This window comes from Homo sapiens, chromosome 7, assembly GCF_000001405.40.
Source record: "Homo sapiens chromosome 7, GRCh38.p14 Primary Assembly".
NCBI classification, from domain to species: Eukaryota; Metazoa; Chordata; class Mammalia; order Primates; family Hominidae; genus Homo; species Homo sapiens.
This window is the reverse complement of record NC_000007.14, coordinates 51928427-51951561: the sequence shown is the minus strand read 5'-3', so window position 1 is coordinate 51951561 and position 23135 is coordinate 51928427. Positions and strand designations below refer to the sequence as shown.

Below are 23135 nucleotides of genomic sequence, written 5' to 3'. Positions count from 1 at the left end.
TTTACTTCTAGTATAAAATTTAATGGAATTTGCCTTAAAAAATAATTCCCACTCTCCACCTTTTTCTATTATTCTAATCCAAATCCTTTTTGTGAGCCATAGATATGGACTTCTCGTGTTCAGTTGGCTGCTTTTTGTGTTTAGGAGATTATATTTGAATACTAAATTTTATCTAAGCTCTGAGCTAACAATACATATAAAAATAGCACATTGGACTAGCTCTGAATTTAGAAAAAGCATATAATTGTGCTTTCATTTTCTTCTGGTATTGTTCAAATTGCTTTATTAAACAGGCAAAACAATAAAATTTTAGTTGAGCTTTTACATTTCAGCACATCTAAAGAATTAAATTTAGAGAATGATGATGGCACATTGAAAACTGGACTTGAAAAATCCAAATTTTTCAAGTATTCTTCAGACAGATTCCTTGGCAAGCATGAGCATAGCTTTCCATGGCTTTCTAGCACTTCAGAGCTTAGGTTTATGTGGCTCAGACCAAACCAGAGCCAGGGATCTCCATTGCAGAAAGGATGCAAGCATGAATAAGCAGGAATCTCGTCATCTGGTATTTTCTGCTATCTTGGGCCATTCTCGGGTGTGATGTGGCCAGAAGGCATTTTAGTACAAATCAAGAACAGCAAACCCTATTTTCCACTAAATTACCCTTTTGCAAAATATTGATTTATTTGATTATTGCAACTGCATTCGAAATCACTCTCTACCTCCTATACTGCAAAAATTCACAATTACAAAATGCATACCTTTTATTAGACAGCAAGACAAACATGCAAATAAATAAAAATCAAAGTTAACAGAGAATGTGTTCTACTGACAGAAACAAGCTCTGAAATGCAGATAGAGAATTCTAAACAAACCACAAAGAAGTTTTGCTAAAGGCCATTAATAAAAGACATAAAAGTAAGTCTGGCAGATTTCCTAAAGAACTTTATATTGCTAATTTTGAGGGTGAAGGAGTCTACATCTTCTACAAATATATCATGGTCTTAATATTTCAAATGTTAATATTTCCTTTAAAAAATGCTTTCCAAGCATGCTCTATGCACAGCGGGCACTCTGAAAATGCTAGTTGATTGTTGGTTAGATTTCATTTAGGAGAGATCAGCTGAAGCAAATAGATTTTCAGTGAAACAGTAATTGCTTGCCAGGAAAGAGATGACTGAAAGAAGAGGCGTGCAGGGCCCCCTGTGGCCACACCACCCTCCTCTCTTTCCACTACAATGGGCACAATGGCTTCGAGTCGACCATGCACATGAATCACAGGAACTCCCTGCTGGCCACTCCAAAAGCTGCTGCGAGGCCCTTGTTTAGATGATTTTAGTGTTAGATGGTAACACTTGAGAATCCATGATAGTGTAGAAGTTCAAAAATAAATCACAAAAATATAAATGATTTTAGACTGATGCAAGAAGCACTTTGCAGCACTCACTCAAAACAAAACACAATGAATGCATCTGAGTCTAATACAAAAAGTCCATCCTTGTGTTTGGATGGCTCTTCAGGAAAGTGTTTATTTATTAATCCGTACACTCTCCTCCCCAAGGCAATCCAGCCTAGTTGTAAAGGTCATAGATTCCAGACCCAGAGTGCTTGATTTCACCTCCTGCCTCTGCCATGGAATGCTCTTTAGCTGTGCGCAAATGAGCCAACCTCTCTGTGCTTACTTTCTCAACTGTAAAGTTAGTTGTTACAGAAAACATCAACCTCACAGGATAGTTGTGAGACTAAAGGGGTTAATCATTTATAGAAAGTGCTCACCACAGTGCTTGGCGTATAGCGAAAATACAAGAAAAGCCCTTTATCATTTTTCTTGAGTTAATGTCATTAAATATAACCATAAAATTATTCTTCCTCATGATTTTGGAAGCTATTAAAATGGATACAATTATTACATTGTTCTATGTAATATCAACAGTTAACTTTAAAATATTTTTAAAACCTCCCTTATAAAAATAATGTCAAATTTTTTTATTTTTTGCAGAGACAGAATCTCATTGTGTTGCCCAGCCTGGTCTCGAACCCCTGACCTCAGGTGATCCTTTTGCCTCAACCTCACAAAGTGCTGGAATTACAGGCATGAGTTACCACACCTGGCATTTAAAATGTTTTAAATGTAATAGGATTAAACAATTAGAATACATATTCCTTTTCTGTGCCATGGAATCATATTTTCTTTCTTTTTTTTTTTTTTTGAGACGGAGTCTTGTTCTGTCGCCCAAGCTGGAGTGCAGTGGCGCGATCTCGACTCACTGCAAGCTCCGCCTTCCGGGTTCACGCCATTCTCCTGCCGCGTGTTTTGGAATTCGCTGTGGTTCAATAGTCCATAAGCTTTCATTTAATTTTTGAAACCAGCTTTTGAACATTCAATGGAAAAGTAAAACACTAAGACATGATTGTTTAGTCCAGTTTTAAAAGAATGTATTTTTTCACAGAACCTATTTAATTTCTTAGGTTTCTTAATAGATTATAGAAAATTAGGTTGTCATTGGAATTTTGTAATCTTTTTGTATCTTTGAAACATTTTTTCTTTATATTACGATGCTAAAATTTAAAGCTTTTAAAAACTGTTAATGACTTTATTTCAAACTTTTTTTAAGTGTTGAATGATTCTCTGTATCTCACATGATGTTCCTTTTACTTAATTCATTCTATCTGGTATTAATTGGTGTCTTTTTCTTCTTTTAGTGTGTATTTTAGCTGACATAATTTATTTTTAATAACTTTTGTGGGGTTTTTTGTACTTTTGTAATGTGATTACCATACATTGATCCTTTTTTCTTAATAAATCCAAGAAATAGATAAGTTTAATAGATAAGTTTAACATGTTGATGATAATTTTTAAAACTGTTATATCTTCTATTATGCTGTGTTATGTGCATGTTAATTCATTTTTCTTTACTTGCAACGTAATTTATATTTTAGTTTATTTTATGCTCCATGATTACTGTGTTATATGTTCTGATTATAATTTTATCAACGTGTAGGCTAAAATATATAACAAAAATGTGAAATCCTATGGTTGACATGATATTGGATCATCAAATAGAGCCCTATCTGAGGGATCTTGCCACACTGATTTCTTGTGTTTTTTCCTGGTCACCTCACTTTGTTGTGAAATCCTAGTCATAAGTTCCGAAGTATTCCACTTTAAAAAAAAGAAAGAGAGAGAAGGAAAGAAAAGAAAAAAAAGCAGTGTGTCTTCCCTCATCCCCACTTTCCCCTTGAGCTTTCAGTGTGCTTCCTTAGATAGCCGTGCTGCTTGAGCAGCATCGTTTCCTTATGCCCCATCTCCTAGAATCAGGCTTCTGGACTCTTCTACACCTAAATGGCTCTCACTAAGGTCATCAACAAACTTGAGGTTTATCAATTCAATAGGCACTCTTTATTCCTTTCCTTACTCAACCCCTTTCAACATATGAAACCCTCATTCCTACAGAGCAGGTCTTGGGCCTCTTGCTCTTCTCTCTGGTGCCAGCTCAACCTCATCTCAGGAAACTGGATTCCTCTGAAGCTCATTCCACAATGCTCTGTTCTTTTCACTCTATATTTCCCCTAAAATACTATCATCCAATTGCATAGTTTTAAAAGTCACCTAATGCTAATGACTACCAAAATTGTGTTAGCATCTGGACTTATCCTTTGTACTGCAAATCCAAGTAGTTAAAAAATCTCAGATACTGTCACAGGTTCCTCAAACTGAATATTCAAAACCAAATTCCCGACCTTCGCGCGTGCACACACACACACACACACACACACACACACACCCCTAAAAGTTTTTCTTGGCAGTTCCTTACCCCTATTAGTTTTTAAATTTATCACCAAATTGACTGAAGCCTCTAAGATATATCTTAAATTCTTCCCACATCCAGTGCCCCATCACCTGCTGCCAGGGCCACCTGGCCTCCCTTGGATGTACAAGTGGCAGCTGTTTCCACAATCCTTCAGTTCTTAGGTGAAGCATCCCCTTTTACGTAGGCTTGCCTTGACCACTCTAACTCAGCAGGACACTTTGTGGCTCTCTGCTGTAGTGCCGTTTGTTTTCTTTCTTGCACTAATAACTATCTATAATCATTTTCTTACTTGGTTACTTTTTAAAATAGATATCCTTCCGAAATTGCAAAGTCTATAAATGCAAAGACCTTGCCCATTCTTTTGTTCATCTAACACAGACCCTGGTGCATAGTTTATACACAATGTTTTTAGAAATAATGGGCTGGGCACGGTGTCTCACGCCTGTAATCACAGCACTTTGGGAGGCTGAGGTGGGTGGATCACCTGAGGTCAGGAGTTTAAGCTCAGCCTGGCCAACATGGTGAAACCCCGTCTCCACTAAAAATACAAAAATTAGCCGGTTGTGGTGACCGGCACCTGTAGTCCCAGCTACTCGGGAGGCTGAGGGAGGAGAATCGCTTGAACCCTGGAGGCAGAGGTTGCAGTGAGCTGAGATTATGCCACTGCATGCCAGCCTGGGCGACAGAGCAAGACTTTGTCTCAAAAACAAAACAAAACAAAACCAAAAAGCAAACACAAAAGAAGGTATGTTTACAAACACACAAATGGAAGTATGATATTTACAACATTTGTCCTGTTAACTTCCATCTTTGGTATTTTGCACAGCCACACAGTCAGCATTATCCTCTGTAGCTGAATTGCAGGGAGGCTGTTCGAGACTGAAGATGGTTTCTACCATAGCGATATGGTGTCCAGCAGGGATCTCTGCCCTGAGTCTACATGGAGAGGTAGGAATCCTGAAAACTCCTTCCCCTTCCACAAACCTCTCAGAACCATTTATTCTGAAGATAAAAGATTCCAAGAGGGCATGACACATTGACTCCAAATTTATCAATTTGATATGTTGAAAGTCTGTCTTGCTGAGAAGCAGAATTAAAAGCCAGGTGATAACTACTTCCTTGCCATTGTAAGCCCAAGGCCACATTTGTGGGGAGAATAAAGAAGATCTAAGTTCCTGTGAAGGTCAGGAGACTGTAGCTGCATGAAATAGTTTTAACTCATTTCTCTGCAAAGTTAGTTGAGATTCAGCGTTAAACACAATGTGTTCAATTATGCAAAAATTACATGAGCGGTCACTGTAGAATATATAGTAAATTCATATTCAATTTGGTGTTTTTGTAAAATTACTAGAAGGTGAAAGTGATGAGGCATATTATATGATAATCTCATTTAATTCAGTATCCCTAAGAGGTTCAGTGAAGCAACGTCAGTTCTTTTGTCCGAATGAAAGAACACCTCTAGCTGTTTAATGCAGTGTGATCTCCAGGGAGTAGACCTCTGGGTTCAGGGGTCACACGCTCTTCTCCATATTCAAAGTGCATCTGCCATTCTATAGCTGTGCACCAGCCTGTAAAAACCTTCCTTTTAAAGAATAACATACGGTGTTATATGTCTGGAATATAACATATTCCATGTGTTATATGTCATGTCTGGATATAGTGTTTAAAATAGCAAAATGAAAAATGCTTCCTTGAGTAGAGTCATAGTTTATTTTCAGATAAGTGAACCAAGGTTTATATCTGTACCAACAGCTAACTAGTTGCAGGGTATGGTTAAGTCACTTAGGTTTCCTAGGTCTCACTTTCTTCAGCTGTTAAATGGGATACTTAGACCAGTTAATCTTTAAGTTCTTTTTCATCTAGATATATGAAGCCAATTTTCTCCACCTTCTAAAAATCTGAAGTTTTTTATCATAGATTATAAGCACTTAAATGTCTCTGACTGCCTTTCCAGAGGCAGAAATTTTCTAGAAATTCACTTTCACCAGCACAAAGCCTTTTCTCATTTCAGAGCCTTTCCCTTTGATTTCCTTTGACTAAAATATTTGTCAGCCCATGCATTTACTCTTGACTAAAATGTCTCCTTCTCTGAGAGGACTTCTCTAGCTACCCCATTAAAATAGCATCTTTCTATCCTCTTGTGCTAAATGTTTCTTTTACTCATTTTCTTGGTTAATTTAGCATTTTATTTTGGGGTTTATTGTATCTCTCACAAGAATGTACATGATATGATAGACTGGATAAAGGAAATGTGGCACATATACACCATGGAATACTATGCAGCCATGAAAAAGAATGAGTTCATGTCCTTTGTAGGGACATGGATGAAGCTGGAAACCATCATTCTCAGCAAACTAACACAGGAACAGAAAACCAGACACCACATGTTCTCACTCATAAATGGGAGTTGAATAAAGAGAACATATGGGCAAAGGGAGGGGAACATCACACACTGGGGCCTGTCGGAGGTCGAGGGCAAGAGGAGGGATAGCATTAGGAGAAATACCTAATGTAGATGACAGGTTGATTGGTGCAGCAAACCGCCATGGCACATGTATACCTATGTAACAAACCTGCACATTCTGCACATGTATCCCAGAACTTAAAGTATATATTATTTTTTTAAAAAAAAGAATGTAAGCTCCATCATGACAGTAACTTGGACATTGTGTTCATTTTGGTTGCAGTTTTTTATTTTATTTTATTTTTTGAGACAGAGTCTCGCTCTTGTTGCCCAGGCTGCAGGGCAGTGGCGGGATCTCAGCTCACTGCAGCCTCCGCCTCCTGGGTTCAAGCAATTCTCCTGCCTCAGCCTCCCAACTAGCTGAGATTATAGGTGCCCACCACCACACCCAGCTAATTTTTGTATTTTTAGTAGAGACAGGGTTTCAGCATATTGGCCAGGCTGGTCTTGAACTCCCAATCTCAGGTGATCCACCCGCCTCAGCCTCCCAAAGTTTTGGGATTACAGGTGTGAGCCACCGTGCTGGGCCTTTTTTTTTTTTTTTCTGAGACAGAGTCTTGCTCTGTTGCTAGTAGTGCAGTGGTGCAATCTCTGCTCACTGCAACCTCTGCCTCCCAGCTTCAAGTGATTCTCCTGCCTCAGCCTCCCAAGTAGCTGGGACTACAGGTGCACACCACCACACCTTGCTAATTTTTGTATTTTTAGTAGAGACAGGGTTTCACCATATTGGTCAGGCTGATTTGAACTCTTGACCTCAGGTGACCCACCTGCCTTAGCCTCCCAAAGTGCTGGATTATAGGCATGGTTTTCAAAAAACCAGCCCCTGGATTCACTGATTTTTTTTAAGCGTTTTTTTGTGTCTCTATCTGCTTCAGTTCTGCTCTGATCTTAGTTATTTCTTGCCTTCTGCTAGCTTTTGAATGTGTTTGCTCTTGCTTCTCTAGTTCTTTTCATTGTGATGTTAGGGTGTTGATTTTATATTTTTCCTGCTTTCTCTTGTGGGCATTTAGTGCTATAGATTTCCCTCTACACATTGCTTTAAATGTGTCCCAGAGATTCTGGTATATTGTGTCTTTGTTCTCATTGGTTTCAAAGAACATCCTTATTTCTGCCTTCATTTCGTTATGTACCCAGTAGTCATTCAGGAGCAGATTGTTCAGTTTCCATGTAACTGAGCGGTTTTGAGTGAGTTTCTTAATAGTGAGTTCTAGTTTGATTGCCCTGTGGTCTGAGAGACAGTTTGTTGTAATTTCTGTTCTTTTACATTTGCTGAGGAGTGCTTTACTTCCAACTATGTGGTCAATTTTTGAATAAGTGTGATGTGGTGCTGAGAAGAATGTATATTCTGTTGATTTGGGGTGGAGAGTTCTGTAGATGTCTTTTAGGTCTGCTTGATGCAGAGCTGAGTTCAATTCCTGGATATCCTTGTTAACTTTCTGTCTCGTTGATCTGTCTAATGTTGACAGTGGGGTGTTAAAGTCTCCCATTATTATTGTGTGGGAGTCTAAGTCTCTTTGTAGGTCACTAAGAACTTGCTTTATGAATCTGGGTGCTCCTGTATTGGGTGCATATATATTTAGGATAGTTAGCTCTTCTTGTTGAATTGATCCCTTTACCATTATGTAATGGCCTTCTTTGTCTCTTTTGATCTTTGCTGGTTTAAAGTCTGTTTTATCAGAGACTAGGATTGAAACCCCTGCTTTTTTTTGTTTTCCATTTCCTTGGTAGATCTTCCTCCCTCCCTTTATTTTGAGCCTATGTGTGTCTCTGCACGCAAGATGGGTCTGCTGAATACAGCACACTGCGGGTCCTGACTCTTAATCCAATTTGGCAGTCTATGTCGTTTAATTCGGGCATTTAGTCCATTTACATTTAAGGTTAATATTGTTTTGTCTGAATTTGATCCTGTCATTATGATGTTAGCTGGTTATTTTGCTCATTAGTTGATGCAGCTTTTTCCTAGTAACAATGGCCTTTACAATTTGGCATGTTTTTGCAGTGGCTGGTACCGGTTGTTCCTTTCCATGTTTAGTGCTTCCTTCAGGAGCTCTTGTAAGGCATGCCTGGTGGTGACAAAATCTCTCAGCATTTGTTTGTCTGTAAAGTATTTTATTTCTCCATCACTTATGAAGCTTAATTTGGCTAGATATGAAATTCTGGGTTGAAAATTCCTTTCTTTAAGCATGTTGAATATTGCTCCCCACTCTCTTCTGGCTTGTAGAGTTTCTGCGGAGAGATCCGCTGTTAGTCTGATGGGCTTCCCTTTGTGGGTAACCCGACCTTTCTCTCTGGCTGCCCTTAACATTTTTTCCTGCATTTCAACTTTGGTGAATCTGACAATTATGTGTCTTGGAGTTACTCTTCTCGAGGAGTATCTTTGTGGTTTTCTCTGTATTTCCTGAATGTGAATGTTGGCCTGCCTCGCTAGGTTGGGGAAGTTCTCCTGGATGATATCCTGAAGAATGTTTTCCAACTTGGTTCCATTCTCCCCATCAATTTCAGGTACACCAATCAGATGTAAATTTGGTCTTTTCACATAGTCTCATATTTCTTGGAGGCTTTGTTCATTTCTTTTTACTCTTTTTTTCTCTTAACTTCTCTTTTTGCTTCATTTCATTCATTTGATCTTCAATCACTGATACCCTTTCTTCCAGTTGATCAAATCAGCTACTCAAGCTTATGCATGCGTCACATAGTTCTCGTGCCATGGTTTTCAGCTCCATCGGGTCATTTAAGGACTTCTCTACACTGGTTATTCTAGTTAGCCATTCGTCTACTCTTTTTTCAATGTTTTTAGCTTCTTTGTGATGGGTTCGAACATCCTCCTTTAGCTCGGAGAAGTTTGTTATTACCGATCGTCTGAAGGCTTCTTCTCTTGACTCGTCAAAGTCATTCTCTGTCCAGCTTTGTTCTGTTGCTGGCGAGGAGCTCCATTCCTTTGGAGGAGAAGAGGCACTCTGACTTTTAGAATGTTCAGCTTTTCTGCTCTGGTTTCTCCCAAACTTTGTGGTTTTATCTACCTCTGGTCTTTGATGATGGTGACGTACAGATGGGTTTTGGTGTGGATGTCCTTTCTGTTTGTTAGTTTTCCTTCTAACAGTCAGGACCCTCCACTGCAAGTCTGTTGGAGTTTGCTGGAGGTCCACTCCAGACCCTGTTTGCCTGGGTATCACCAGCGGAGGCTGCAGAACAGCAAATGTGGCTGCCTAATCCTTCCTTTGGAAGCTTCGTCTCAGAGAGGCAGCTGGCCTTATGAGGTGTCAGTCGCCCCCCTACTGAGAGGTGCCTCCCAGTTAGGCTACTCAGGGGTCAGGGACCCACTTGAGGAGGCAGTCTGTCCGTTCTCAGATCTCAAACTCCGTGCTGGGAGAACCACTACTCTCTTCCTGTCAGACAGGGACGTTTAAGTCTGCAGAAGTTTCTGCTGCCTTTTGTTCAGCTATGCCCTGCCCCTAGAGGTGGAGTCTACAGAAGCAGGCAGGCCTCCTTGAGCTGCAGTGGGCTCCACCCAGTTTGAGCTTCCCAGCCGCTTTGTTTACCTACTCAAGCCTCAGCAATGGCGGACACCCCTCCCCCAGCCTCGTGCCTTGCAGTATGATCTCAGACTGCTGTGCTAGCAGTGAGCGAGGCTCCATGGGCATGGGACCCTCCGAGCCATGCATGGGATATAATCTCCTGTTGTGCTGTTTGCTAAGGCCATTGGAAAAGCGCAGTATTAGGGTGAGAGTGTCCCGATTTTCCAGGTGCCGTCTGTCACGGTTTCCCTTTGCTAGGAAAAGGAATTCCCTGACCCCTTGTGCTTCCCAGGTGAGGCAATGCCCCACCCTGCTCTGTGGGCTGCACCCATTTGTCTGGCAAGCCCCAGTGAGATGAACCCGGTACCTCAGTTGGAAATACAGAAATCATCCATCTTCTGCATTGCTCACGCTGGGGGCCGCAGACTGGAGCTGTTCCTATTTGGCCATCTTGTTGCCAACCCCCAAATTAACCCTTTTTTCATGAATGTGTAAAATCAGTTTCTAAAACATCAATAGTTTAGATGTCAAGTACACAGAACGCTTTTACTGTTCTTTAGAACATTAAAAGAAATCACTCAATTCCATATTGCATTAACTTTGCTTTCTTCTTGGTGGTTCCAGCTCCATGAGTTTACGATGGAATTAATATTGGTCTTGCATATATTTTATTTGTTATGTAGCTCAAAAAGTTATGGAGCATCAAAAGTACGCAAAATAAGGTATGGGATTGTTTAAAATACTGTGCCATTTAAATAAAAAACACGTTTTATTACTCTGTAACCTGAAAAACAATAATCATTTACTATAAATCTCGTCAATCCAAAATGTTCCAAGTTACTCTTATACAACGGAACATGACAGTAGAACAGTGCATGTATAATCCCGGAGGTTTCAAAATCAATAGCCAGCTTTTTGTATAATTTTGTCTTCAAAAATAGTCTCAAATTTTGTCATATATTTTGGGCAATCTCAAAGGACATTTTCCTAAGAATATCAGTAGATCTTGAAAAAAAGTGATAGCTCAATGTTATTATTTATCTAAACATTTCATTTTTATCAGTAGGTTTATTATACTGGTTTGATTATATGGTTTCTGAGATGCATTTAAGATATTATTAAAAATTGTGAAACTATAATAATAGTTGTTTTTTTGGCTATACTAGACTTATGTCTCTAGTACATATAGTCATGTCTTTTGCTGAAAATCCTAATATCAACTCACACTCACAATCCCACTTAATCTGTGAAATTAATCACTTGCTTAAATTAATCATCTGTGCCCAACATACCCTCCTCAGTCAATCAGGCCACTACTTCCTGAGAAACTCTGTCATGAAAACCCTGAAATCTGGCACTCACATTTATATCACACCATTCCCACATTACCTATATTCAGCAAACCTTTAAATTCATTAATTTTTGCTTAGAAATCTCTCTCATGCTGTTGATTCCTTTTTTTCCTAGAAGATCAGATTTTTGAAGAGCCCTTCAGCTATTCTTTCAGGCTCCATTTTTTTTTTCTACTTCCAGTACTTCACATGTATTTCTAGGCCCTGTTGGCCGGCTTATCTTCTGCACAAGGTAACCTCTAGCACCTGTTACATCCAACATATGCTCCTCTCTCAGCTTATGGAGATCCAGAATCTAAGTGCAGTGATGCACAGGTCCCCCTTTTCTATCATTCCCTCCTCAGAAGCTTGATCTCAAGAAGACAGTACTTCTTGACTCTCTTGACTTTTTGCCTTATAGTACTGCATAAGATCCCCACAGCATCTGAACCACCAGGCCAGCTCCCACCAGCATGCTGCTTTTTCAGACCCTACCACCTGCCCAATCAGTTTCCTTTCCACCTAGATCCAGAGAAAACCCAACTCTCTATAAGAAGCTTTTGTGGATTACTTTCAGCTCATTCTATTACCTTACCTGTCTCTAGAACTTTTAACTCAGTGAATTATGAAAAAGGCTTTTTTTTACATAGCTCTAAAATACTTAAGATGGCTTGAACTTCCATAGACTTCAAATATTAATAATTCAGTGGTTTACTTGTGGCCTTTTTGCTTATGTATACATCTTTACTTTCTTCATAACCAAAATTGTTATGACTGAATAGAGGTTTATTGTGTACTGATTTTTTTTAAACATAAAGCACTAATGCTTTCCCCTGCAGTCTTAGGAATGAGTGAAACTAATGTCTGTTTAATGGCTACTATGAGACAAACTATAAACTATCTATTTTACAAAGAAAGAGATTACAAAAGATGGACTAGGACTACTCATCAAAAGATGAAATAGGACTTTCCAGCAATCATCCTTCAATGGACACATTAATTTGAATAACTACCCATGCCTGAAAATACCTTCATAAGAGCTGAAGGAAACAGGAGAGAGATCAAAGCACCACGTGGGTATAGCACTGAAATAAGGAAAGATGCATTGAAAAGGGAAAGACAGTTTCACTTTACCTGCTTCACATCTTGCCCAACCAAAGGCAGCACAGCACAGAGATACCATCTTCTTGAGGGAAAGATAGGAAAGTATCACTGAACTTTGCCTTGAGTACTGGGCCCACCTCCATAAAACTCAGAACCGGGCAGGCCCCACAGCCTCAAACTCAAGGCTGGTGCCTACAGAATGAGCCTCTAGGTCTGCCCCAGAGCCAGGCTGAGCTGCCCTTCAGCCTTCGGCTCCAGATCTTCATGGTGGACTTCATCTCCTGTCTGCCCCCTTGTGTTTCAAACAGCAGCTCCAAGCTCCCAACCACATTCAACACCAGGTTTGCCCCAGCAGCACCAAGCTATGGGCTTATGCTAGTGGTGGGCTAGTCTCAGTGAGCCCTAGGCTTCAGGTCCACCTCAACTCCAAGCCAGCTCCTATAGCCGTAGTAATTAGGCCAGTAACTCTGGACCCAGGCTTCATGTTGGCCCCTACAGCCCCAAGCTCCACATCTACCCCAGGCTCCAGAGCAGCCCAGAGCAAAGTTGGCCTGCACAGCCCCAGACTTCAGACACCCACATAAGCACTAGATCAGCACACCTGACCTGTGGGTCCACACTCAGCACCTGCAGACCCAGGCTCCAGATCCACATGGTGTCAAAATAATCCCTACATCTTCAGCTTCCAGGAGAAGCCCCTGAAGTCCCAGGCCATAGGTCAGTCCTTGCAGACCTAGCTTCTAGGGTAGCATCCACACATTTTGTTTTCAAGCTGGCCTCCATGAGCCCAGAGTCCAGGCCAGTCTCCAGGACTCCAGGATTTAGGCTGGCCCCTGTGGACTCATTCTTTGGAAGACCCAGGGTCCAGGTCCTTTCCAGTAGACCCAGGGATCAACCCCAACCCAGTAGATATATATGCTGGGCTGTCCCCTAAAGACTCATGTTCCAGGGTCATTCCTATGGATACAGGCTCCAGGCTGGTCACCATGGCCTGAGTACACAGGTTAATTCCCACAGACTGAGACTTCAGGCCAGCCCCAGCACCAGTCTAACACCCATGGCCCCAGGTTCCAAACCAGCACCTACAGACCTAAGATCCAGGCTAGTCATGGTGGCCCCAGGATTCATTGCCTCAGAGTCCAGGCCTGCTCCAGTAGACCCAGGGTTCATGTCCACCCCAATGGACACTAGTACCAGGCTAGTCCCTATGGGCTAAAGATGTAGGAACACCCCTGCAGATCCAGTCTCCAGTCCCTGGACCCAGGATCCAGGCTCATCCCAGAGGACACAGGTTCAAGGCCAGTACCAATGCCAAGCTAGCCCCTGTGAACCCAGGGGCCATGCTCAACAGACCCAGTCAACAAATCCAGCACAATGCATCTAGGCTCCAGGATTACCCACCTGCTGACCCAGACACCAGGCTAGCAAGCCCTCTCATGAACCATACTAAATGGCCTGCCTTGAATCTCTGGATGGGTTAACTGGTAAAGAGCTTTCCCAGACAAAGCTAGTCTGCATATTGAAATATGTACCTACTTCTTTAAATGCATAGACACCAACACATAAGGATTAACAGTAATCAGGGAAACATGACATCACCAAAGAGACAAAATGAAGCACAAGTGATTAAACTAAAGAAATTACCTTCCTGACAAAGAATTCAAAATAGCTGCTCTGGGGAAGGTCAGGAAATTTCAACAAAATACAAAAAATCAATTCAGTGAAATAAGGAAAAAAATAAATGGTTGAAGGAAAAATTTTACAGAGATATTGAAATTATTAATAAAACAAAAATGTTAGAGCTGAAAATATAATGAATGAAATAAAAACTGCAATAGTGGGCTAATAGCAGAATTTATTAAGGAGAAGAAATAATCTATGAACTCAAGATTATTTGAAAATATACGATCACAGGAGAAAAAAGAAAACAAGAATGAAAAAGAATAAAGAAAGCATACAGAATTTAAAACACAGTATAAAAAGAGCAAATATTCAAGTCAAAGTTTAGGAAAGAGATGAGACAGTCAAAGAAGTAGTACTTACTTAAAGAAATAATAACACAAATCTTTCCAAACCTGGGAAAAGATATAAGTATCCAAATACAACTCCCCAGTAAGATTCAATTCAAGCAAGATACCTACCCCTAAGATATACTATAACCAAACTGTCAAAACTCAAAGTCAAAGAGAGGATCCTAAAAGCAGCAAGAGAAAAGAAAAAGATAACATGTAAGGGAATTATATTAAAGCTAGTAGCAGATTTATCAGCAGAAACCTTATAGGCCAAGATAGAGGGTGCAAAGTGCTAAGGAAAAAAAAAATGCCAACCAAGAATATTGTACCTGAAAAAGTTGTCCTTGAGAAATGAAGGAAAGATTTTTCCAGACAAACAAAAGAAAGCTGAGGGAGCTAATCACCACCAGACCCTTCTTACAAGAAATACTAAAGGGAGTTCTTCCAGCTGAAAGAAAAATATGCTAATTGTAACATAAAAACACAAAAGTATAAAACACAAAAACATGAAAGTATAAAAGTAAGTATGTGGCCGGGTGCGGAGGCACACATCTGTAATCCCAGCACTTTGGAAGGCCGAGATGGGCAGATCACGAGGTCAGGAGATCGAGACCATCCTGGCTAACATGGTGAAACCCCGTCTCTACTAAAAATACAAAAAAATTAGCCAGGCATGGTAGCAGGTGCCTGCTACTCGGGAGGTTGAGGCAGGAGAATGGCGTGAACCTGGGAGGCGGAGCTTGCAGTGACCCGAGATCGTGCCACTGCACTCCAGCCTGGGCGAGAGTGAGACTCCGTCTCAAAAAAAAAAAAAAAAAAAAGTAAGTATGCAGCAAAATTCAGCACACTCTAATACAGTAATGAAGTGAGTAAATGACTTGTATCTTTAGCATGAAGGTTAAGCAACAAAACCGTTAAAAATACTAATAGCTATAATAATTTGTTAAGAGATATGCAATAAAAAAAGATATAAATTGTGACATTAGAAATTCAGGATGTAGGAATGGAGTCAAAATGTAGAATTTTTTGTTTGCTTGGTTTTTTTTTTGGTTTTTGTTTTTGTAATCAAAGTTAAGTTTTTATAAGTTTAAAGTAACCTATTATAACTATTGGATGATTTTATAAGTCTCATGGAAATCCCAAAGCAAAAAAAATATAGTATATACACAAAAAATAAGCAGTAAGAAATTAAAGCATACTAATAATGAAAATTACCTAATCACAAAGGAAGATAGAGAGGAAAAAAGGAATAATAGATCTACAAAACAAGCAGAAAACAACTAGCAAAACGACAGTAGTAAATTCTTACTTATCAATATTAACCTTGAATGTAAATGGATTAAATTCTCCAATCAAAAGACATAAAAGGGCTAAATGAATTTTTTAAAATATACAACTATATGCTGCTTATAAGAGACTCCCTTTACCCGTAAGAACACACATAGATTGAAAGTTAAGGGATGAAAAAAGATATTCCATGAAAACAAAATGCAGAAGAGAACAGAAGTAGCTATACTTACATCAGATAAAATGGATTTCTTAAGTCAAAAACTGTAAAATAATACAAAGGTGTTACATAATGATAAAAGAGTCAATTCAGCAAAAGGATATAATGACTATAAATAAATATGCACCCAACATCAGAACACCTAAACATATGAAGCAAATATTAATTGGTATTAAGAGAGAGATAAACTGTAATGCACTAATAATAGAGGAATTCAACAAACCTACTTTCATTAATGGCAAGATCCATAAACAGAACATTAAAAAAGAAATATTGGACATAAATTACACTTTAGACCAAATGGACCTAACAGACATACACAGAACACTCCTTCCAAAAGTGGCAGAATGCACATTCTTCTTCTCAAGCACACAGGGAACATTCCCCAGGATAGATCATATGTTAAGCCAAAATACAAGCCTTAGCAAGTTTAAAAAGTTTGAAATCATATCAAGTATCTTTTCTGACCACAATGGTATGAAACTAGAAATCAACTGAAAGAGAAAGATTGTAAAATTTACAAAAACATAGACATTAAACAATGTAATCCTAAACAACCAATGGGTCAATGAAGAAATTAAAAGAGAAAATATATAAACAAAAAATGTTTAGACAAATGAAAATGGAAATACCACATACCAAAACATATGAGATAGCAAAAGCAGTTATTATAAGAGGGAAATTTATAGCAACAAACATCTGCATTAAAAAAGAAAAGTCTCACATAAACAACTTAATATTTCAACTTTCTAGAAAAATAAAAACTAAGCCCAGAGTTAAAGGAAGTAAATAATAAAATCAGAGTAGAAATAAATAAAGTCTAGAAAATCAATAGAAAATATCAATAAAATGAAGACTTGGTTTTTGAAAAGAGAAACAAAATTGAAAAATCTTTAGCTAAACTAAGAATAAAAGAAAAAAGCCTCAAATAAACAAAATCAGAAATGGAAACTAAGACATTACAACTGATACAACAGAAACACAGCCAAAGGGTCATATGAAGCTATTATGACCAATTATTTGACAATAAGCTGGATAACTTAGATGGATGAAATAGATAAATTTCTAGGCATATCAACTTACCAAGGATGAATCATGAAGAAATAGAAAATCCGAACAGACCATTAAAGAGTAAGGAGATCAAATCTAAAGTCTCCCATCAAAGAAAATCTCAGGACTGGATGACTTCACTGATAAATTCTACCAAACATTTAAAAATACCAATCTTTCTCAGACTATCCCCAAAAAATTAAAGAGGGGAAAATGCTTTCAATCAAAGCCAGACAAGGACACTACCAAAAAAGAAACAGAAAAATTAAAAATAAAAATACAGGCCAATATCCCTGCTGAACATAGATGCAGAAATCCTCAACAAAACACTAGCAAACAAAATTCAACACGCATTAAAAAAAATTATTCACCATGATCAAGTGGGATTTATCCTCGAGATTCAAGTATGGTTCAACATATGCAGACTTACAAATGTGATACACCACATTAACAGAATGAAAGACAAAAGACATAATCATCTGAATGGATGTAGAGAAAGCATTTGACAAGATTCAACATCCTTTCACAATAAAGGCTCAACAGATTATATATAGAAGGAATGTACCTCTACACAGTAAAGGTCATATATGACAAATTCATAGGTAACATCATACTCAATGAGTAAAAGCTGAAAGTTTTTTATCTAAGATCAGGAACAAAATAGAGATGCCCACTCTTGCCAGTTCTATTCAGCTTAGTACTGGATGTCCTAGCCAGTGCAATTAGGCAACAGGAAGAAATGAAAGGCATCCCAATTGGAAAGGAAGAAGTGAAATTGTCGCTTTTTGCCGATGACATGATCTTATATATATTTAAAAAACCCTAAACAATCCACCCCAAAACTATTAGAACTAATAAACAAATTTAGTAAAGTTGCAGGATACAAAATCAAAATACAAAAATTAGTAGCATTTCTACACACTAACACCACACTATCTGAATAAGAAATCAAGAAAACAATCCCATTTACAATAGCTGCAAAAATACTGAGAATAAAATTAGCCAAGGAAATATTCTATACACTGAAAACCATCAAACATTAATGAAATAAATTGAAAAAGATGCAAATAAATGAAAATAAATTCCATGTGCATTGACTGGAAGAATTAATATTGTTAAAATGTCCATAGTACCCAAACTGATCTACAGATTTAATGTATTCCTCATCAAAATTTCAATAACATGATCTCAGAAATAGAAAAAGGTTTCTAAAGTTTTTATGAACTGCCTAAGACCCCAAATTGCCAAAGCAATCCTGAGCAAAAAAACAAAGCTGGAGGCATCACAATATCAAACTTCAAAATTTACTGCAATATTGTAGTAATCAAAACAGCATGGCACTTGTCTAAAAACAGATATACAGAACAATAGAATAAAATTGAGAGCCCAGAAATCCATAGATACGTGATAGATAGATAGATAGATAGATAGATCGAATGAAAGTAAAATTCACTTTTCAAGTGATTTTTCACAAAGGTGCCAAGAACAGACAAGGAGCAAAAGATAGTCTCTTCAATAACTGGTGCAGGAAAACTGAATCTCCAAATACAGAATAATGAAATTAGACCTTTGTCTCATACCACACACTAAAACAGCTCAAAACCGATTAAAAACTTAAATGTAAGACCCAAAACTGTAAAACTACTAGAAAAAAACATAGAGAAAAGCCCCACAACATTCGTCTGGGCAAAAGCAAAACTGAAAAAACAGAATTGCATCAAATTGAAAGCTTCTCCACAGCCAAGGAAACAATGAACATAGTGAAGACAGTTTAAGGAATGGGAGAAAATATTTGCAAACTATGCATCTGATAAGGGGCTACTATCCAAAATATATAAGGAACTCAACTCAACTGCAAGGAAAAAAATTTTTAAATGGGCAAAGGAACTGAGTAGACCTTACTCAAAACAAGACATACAGACAACCAAGAACTATATGAAACAATGTTTATCACTAATCATTATAAAAATTAAAATTAAAATTACAATGAGACATCATCCTATGTCTCTTAAAATGGCTATTATCAACACAATAAAAGATAACAATTGTTGGTGGGGATATAGAGAAAAGGGAACCCTTGTGCCCTGTTGGTAAGAATGTAGGTTAGTATAGCCATTATAGAAAACAGTATGGAGCTTCCTCAAAAAATTAAAAATAGAATTACCATATTATCCAACAACCACACTACTAAGTATATAGCCAAAGGAAGTGAAATGAGTGTGTTGAAGAGATAGCTGCACTCCCGTGTTTATTGCAGCATTGTTTACAATAGCCAACATTGGGAATCAACTTGAGTGTCCACTGATGAATAATTGGACCAAAAAAAATGTGGTATATATACACAATGGAATACTATTCAGCCATAAAGAAGAAAATACTGTCATTTGTGACAGCATGAATGAACTTGGAAGACATTACGCTAAGTGAAATAAGCCAGGCACAGATACACAAATACTGCATAATCTCACCTATATATGGAATCTAAAAATATTGAACTCATAGAAGTAGAGAGTAGAATGGTGGTTGCCAGAGGTTGGGACATTGAGGGGAAGGGGAGACGTTGGTTAAGGCTTGCAAAATTTTAGTTTAATAGGAGGAATAACTTCAAATGTGCTAATGTACAACATGGTAACTATAGATGACAATATATTACATTCATTAAAAATGCTAAGGAAGTAGATTTTAAGTGTAATCACAAAAATAATAACTGAGAGAATGTATGTATTAATTTGCTCAATTTAGAGATTTCACTTTATACATGTTTTAAAGCATCATTTTTTACACAGTAAATATATAAATTTTGCTAATTTAAAAAATACAGTAAGATAAATGTTAAAAAAAGAAATTTCTGATTTCTAAATGAGCATTAGATATCAATGCCTATGACTATAAGAGATTGTTGTATGATTTGTATTTTCAGGCAGGAAAAGAAAAGAGAAGCAGAGATTTATTTTTAACCTTCAAACTAAAGAATTTTATTCTTGTTTAAAGACTCTGCACAGATTGAAATTTGAAATTTTTGCAAGTAATTTACAAAAATGTTGAAAATTAACTCAGGCAATATATGATAACAAAATAGTCTGCAATCTTATCATTCACAATTTTTATTTTTGGATCAAAGTTGTTTATATAGTAAACCAAACGCAAAAAAAAAATGAAGAAAAACTCAAAAACTTGAAACTTTTATTATTTCTGATGTTTTCTGCTTTTTAGACATACATGTTTTCTATCCCCATTTCTATGTCCTGAGTTTCTACATAGACTTCTCAATGTTTTTATGAATAAATTAGTACATAATTTATGTAGTTTTGATCCCTCCTCTCCAAAAAGACTTAATTAGATTTTTCATCAATTACAGCCTTGTGTATGAGACTTTATGAGATTTTAGTTGTCTTCATTCATTTGCTTACACCCACAGTGGGAAGCATGTATACCATGTTGTTCTACACCATAAAATTTTAAATGATAGTCTTCATCCATCATATTAATAGTCCAATTAACAGTATACAGCATGCTATGGTTCTACCTGATTTACTTCCTCTAGCAAACAAGTACACAATATTTCTAGTTAGATTCCTGGTATTAAGATTACCAGGGAAACTAAGATTTAAACTTGCTGCTACACTGTTAATAATGCTAACTATGAAGTTTTTAAGCAGCAAGATATGCATCCTGCAATTCTTATCAGTCGTGCATCTCATACAGGAAGTAAACTGCAAAGACGTCTTCTCAACTCATGTGAAACCAATTCATTCTCTAGTGCTAATTATAAGCTATCAAAGAGATGACCTTTTCCAGAGTGCCTAGACCTTTCATGAGGGTTTCAATGGCACACCTAAGTCAATTGATTAAAATATTATTTGTCTACATGATTTTTTTTCAATGTAAAATGTTTCATATTATTAAGCAATGGAGTAATCTTTACAAAGTTAAAGCTTAATCTAAGTAATGAGCAACATTAATCAAAGTCTAACAGGACTAATCAGGCTTCAGACAATGCAACCATTTAAAAAGTTTGCTAATGAGTGTTTCAAGTGGAAGTGAATGATTTTATTCTTAGGTGTAATATCACTATTCATGAGCATCCACTGGAAACATTAAACTCTAGTAGAAAGGCCACTGCTGCAGCTTCCATAATTACCTATAAAAACTTCTTCAACAATGGTCAGGAATAGAATATATTTGCATAATATGCAATTTCAATGCCCAGTGGTTTTCTGAATAATGCGTCACTTGTCAAACTTCATCTTAGGTTAGCATAATGTTTTTCTTCTAGCCACTGAAGGAGGCTGAGTCTATTTTGCATTACTATTTTGTGTTTAGCACTGAACAAACAAAAATAAATGATGAACTTCCAAATAAATAAAGCCTTTGACTAAAGTAGGCAGGAGAAAAGAATACAATGAGAAATGAGCACTATGTCTAAATCTTAGCCTGCCTTTATTTATTTATTTTGTTGTGTGTTTGATTTCCCATCACTGTGGCAGGAAATACTATGGCCCCAAAAAGGTGTCCTCATCCTAATCCCAGGGACCTGCGATTTTGTTACCTTACATAGCGAAAGCAGGACTTGGCAGTTATGCTTACTATTTAGATGGGAGGGTCACCCTAGATGACCTTACTATTTAGATAGGAGGGTCACTCACTCAGTTAAGTCCAGTGTAACCAGTGTGAGAGAGACTGGAAGGTGCTACATTGCTGGCTTTGAGTGTGGAGAAAGAGGTCACAAACCAAAGACAGCAGGCAGTCTCTAGAAACTAGAAAAGGCAAGAGAAGTGATTCTCCCTGAGAAACCTCAGAGGAACACAGCCTTGCCACCAAATACCTTGAATGTAGCCCAGTGAGAACCATTTTGGACATCTGACCTCTAAACTGTAAGATAATACATTTGTGTTGTCTTAAGTCACTTAAGAATACCACTGACATTGCGTCCACTCTCAATTTTTGCATATTACTCATCTGAATATCTCTCATTTGTATCTCAAGAATCCCATTTTTAATTTCAGTACAAGTTCTTTGGTTTAGACCATCACCATTACTTTCCTCAGTTATTTTCCTTAAATTACTTGGCTAGAACCTCAGGGACCTTGACCTTCTGCTATTTTCATGAGAGGCAAATGGGTCAAGTGTTCAAGGCCTTCAGAGAAAGAGAGATCCTGTCTTGTTGGAAGAGTCAGAGAAAGCTTGCATTGACAAGGATTATTGCTGTAATCATGACTTTGCTCCCATTTTTCAATTTTATTACAGATACCGCAAAAACAAAGTTTTTTTCCAGGAAAATGAGGAGCATATGCCTCAGTTTGGTATTCCTGATCTCCAACATTGTGCCTCCAGCTGCATCATTCACTGTGGGTTATACACCAAAAACTCTCCCTAAACTATGCAATCATATAGCGTGATAAAAGTGGTTTAGTTCAGTCGCTTTTAAAGTGTATGTTGATAAACAATTAATCTACATTTGCAGGTGTTCTGATCACTTTTTTTTTAAGTCGTGCACTTTATTTCGAACTACAGAGAAACAGAAAATGCAAGAACCTTGATTATAACAAAACAGCAGCCACACTGGAGCACTCCCTCTTCTCCAAATACACTTCAGCATTTCTACGGCTTTGTCTTCAGTGCTGCTGTTACCTGTGGGTGAATTGCCTTTCATCCACAGTCTCCACTCATCACTCCCTGAAAAAAGTTAAAGAACTTAAAATCTCCTCTGATTTAGTCAAGCCAAGCCAGAGACCTATCAAGAGTGTGTATGAATTTAGTAACTGATGACTTTTTCCCTAAAAATCAATGGCTGTTCTTCCACATCCTGGAGGAATTGATTAGACATCATTGATGTCTTTTCTCAAGCTCTGATTCAATTATTATCTTACCTAATGAAGGAATCCGGCTACCAAGTCCACTAGAGGACATGGTCTGAGCCATCTGGCCATCCATCATGACCTCACTAACTCTTCATGGACTCTATTCTTTATCCCAATGGTAAGGACCATTTTACTAGAATGATCTCAGTTGTATAAAAGTTTTCTAGGGTTTTACTTTAATAAATGCATTGATTCAAAATGCAGAATTAGCCATTAATTCTGTTCACCAAGTATTTATGTTCTCATCTATCTGGGGCTGTGGTGATTGCACTTCAGAAACCCCTTGAGATCCTATGGGACCATGTAACAAGTTCTAGCCAATGCTTTTCAAGCAGGTTTCTGATTCAAGGGCTGTTTCCCTCTAGCATGATGACTGGCCATCTTCAGGATGGTATCAGATGCCTCAGCCAAGGCATCTGAATGACCCAAAGAGTAGAGTGCTTATGGCAGACAAGAGAAGAGCATGAAGTATGAATATG

General features: G+C 37.9%; 2 annotated features.

Moving 5' to 3' along the window:
* Nucleotides 375-669: a silencer, noted in NCBI's record as "tiled region #8738; HepG2 Repressive non-DNase unmatched - State 24:Quies". NCBI's record gives its function as "represses a minimal TATA promoter and a strong SV40 promoter by Sharpr-MPRA in HepG2 cells {active_cell/tissue: HepG2}" and the evidence as "EXISTENCE:reporter gene assay evidence [ECO:0000049][PMID:27701403]".
* Nucleotides 1036-1553: an enhancer, noted in NCBI's record as "OCT4-NANOG-H3K27ac hESC enhancer chr7:52017705-52018222 (GRCh37/hg19 assembly coordinates)". NCBI's record gives its function as "activates a minimal SCP1, AML or CMV promoter by ChIP-STARR-seq in primed H9 embryonic stem cells {active_cell/tissue: H9 hESC(primed)}" and the evidence as "EXISTENCE:reporter gene assay evidence [ECO:0000049][PMID:30033119]".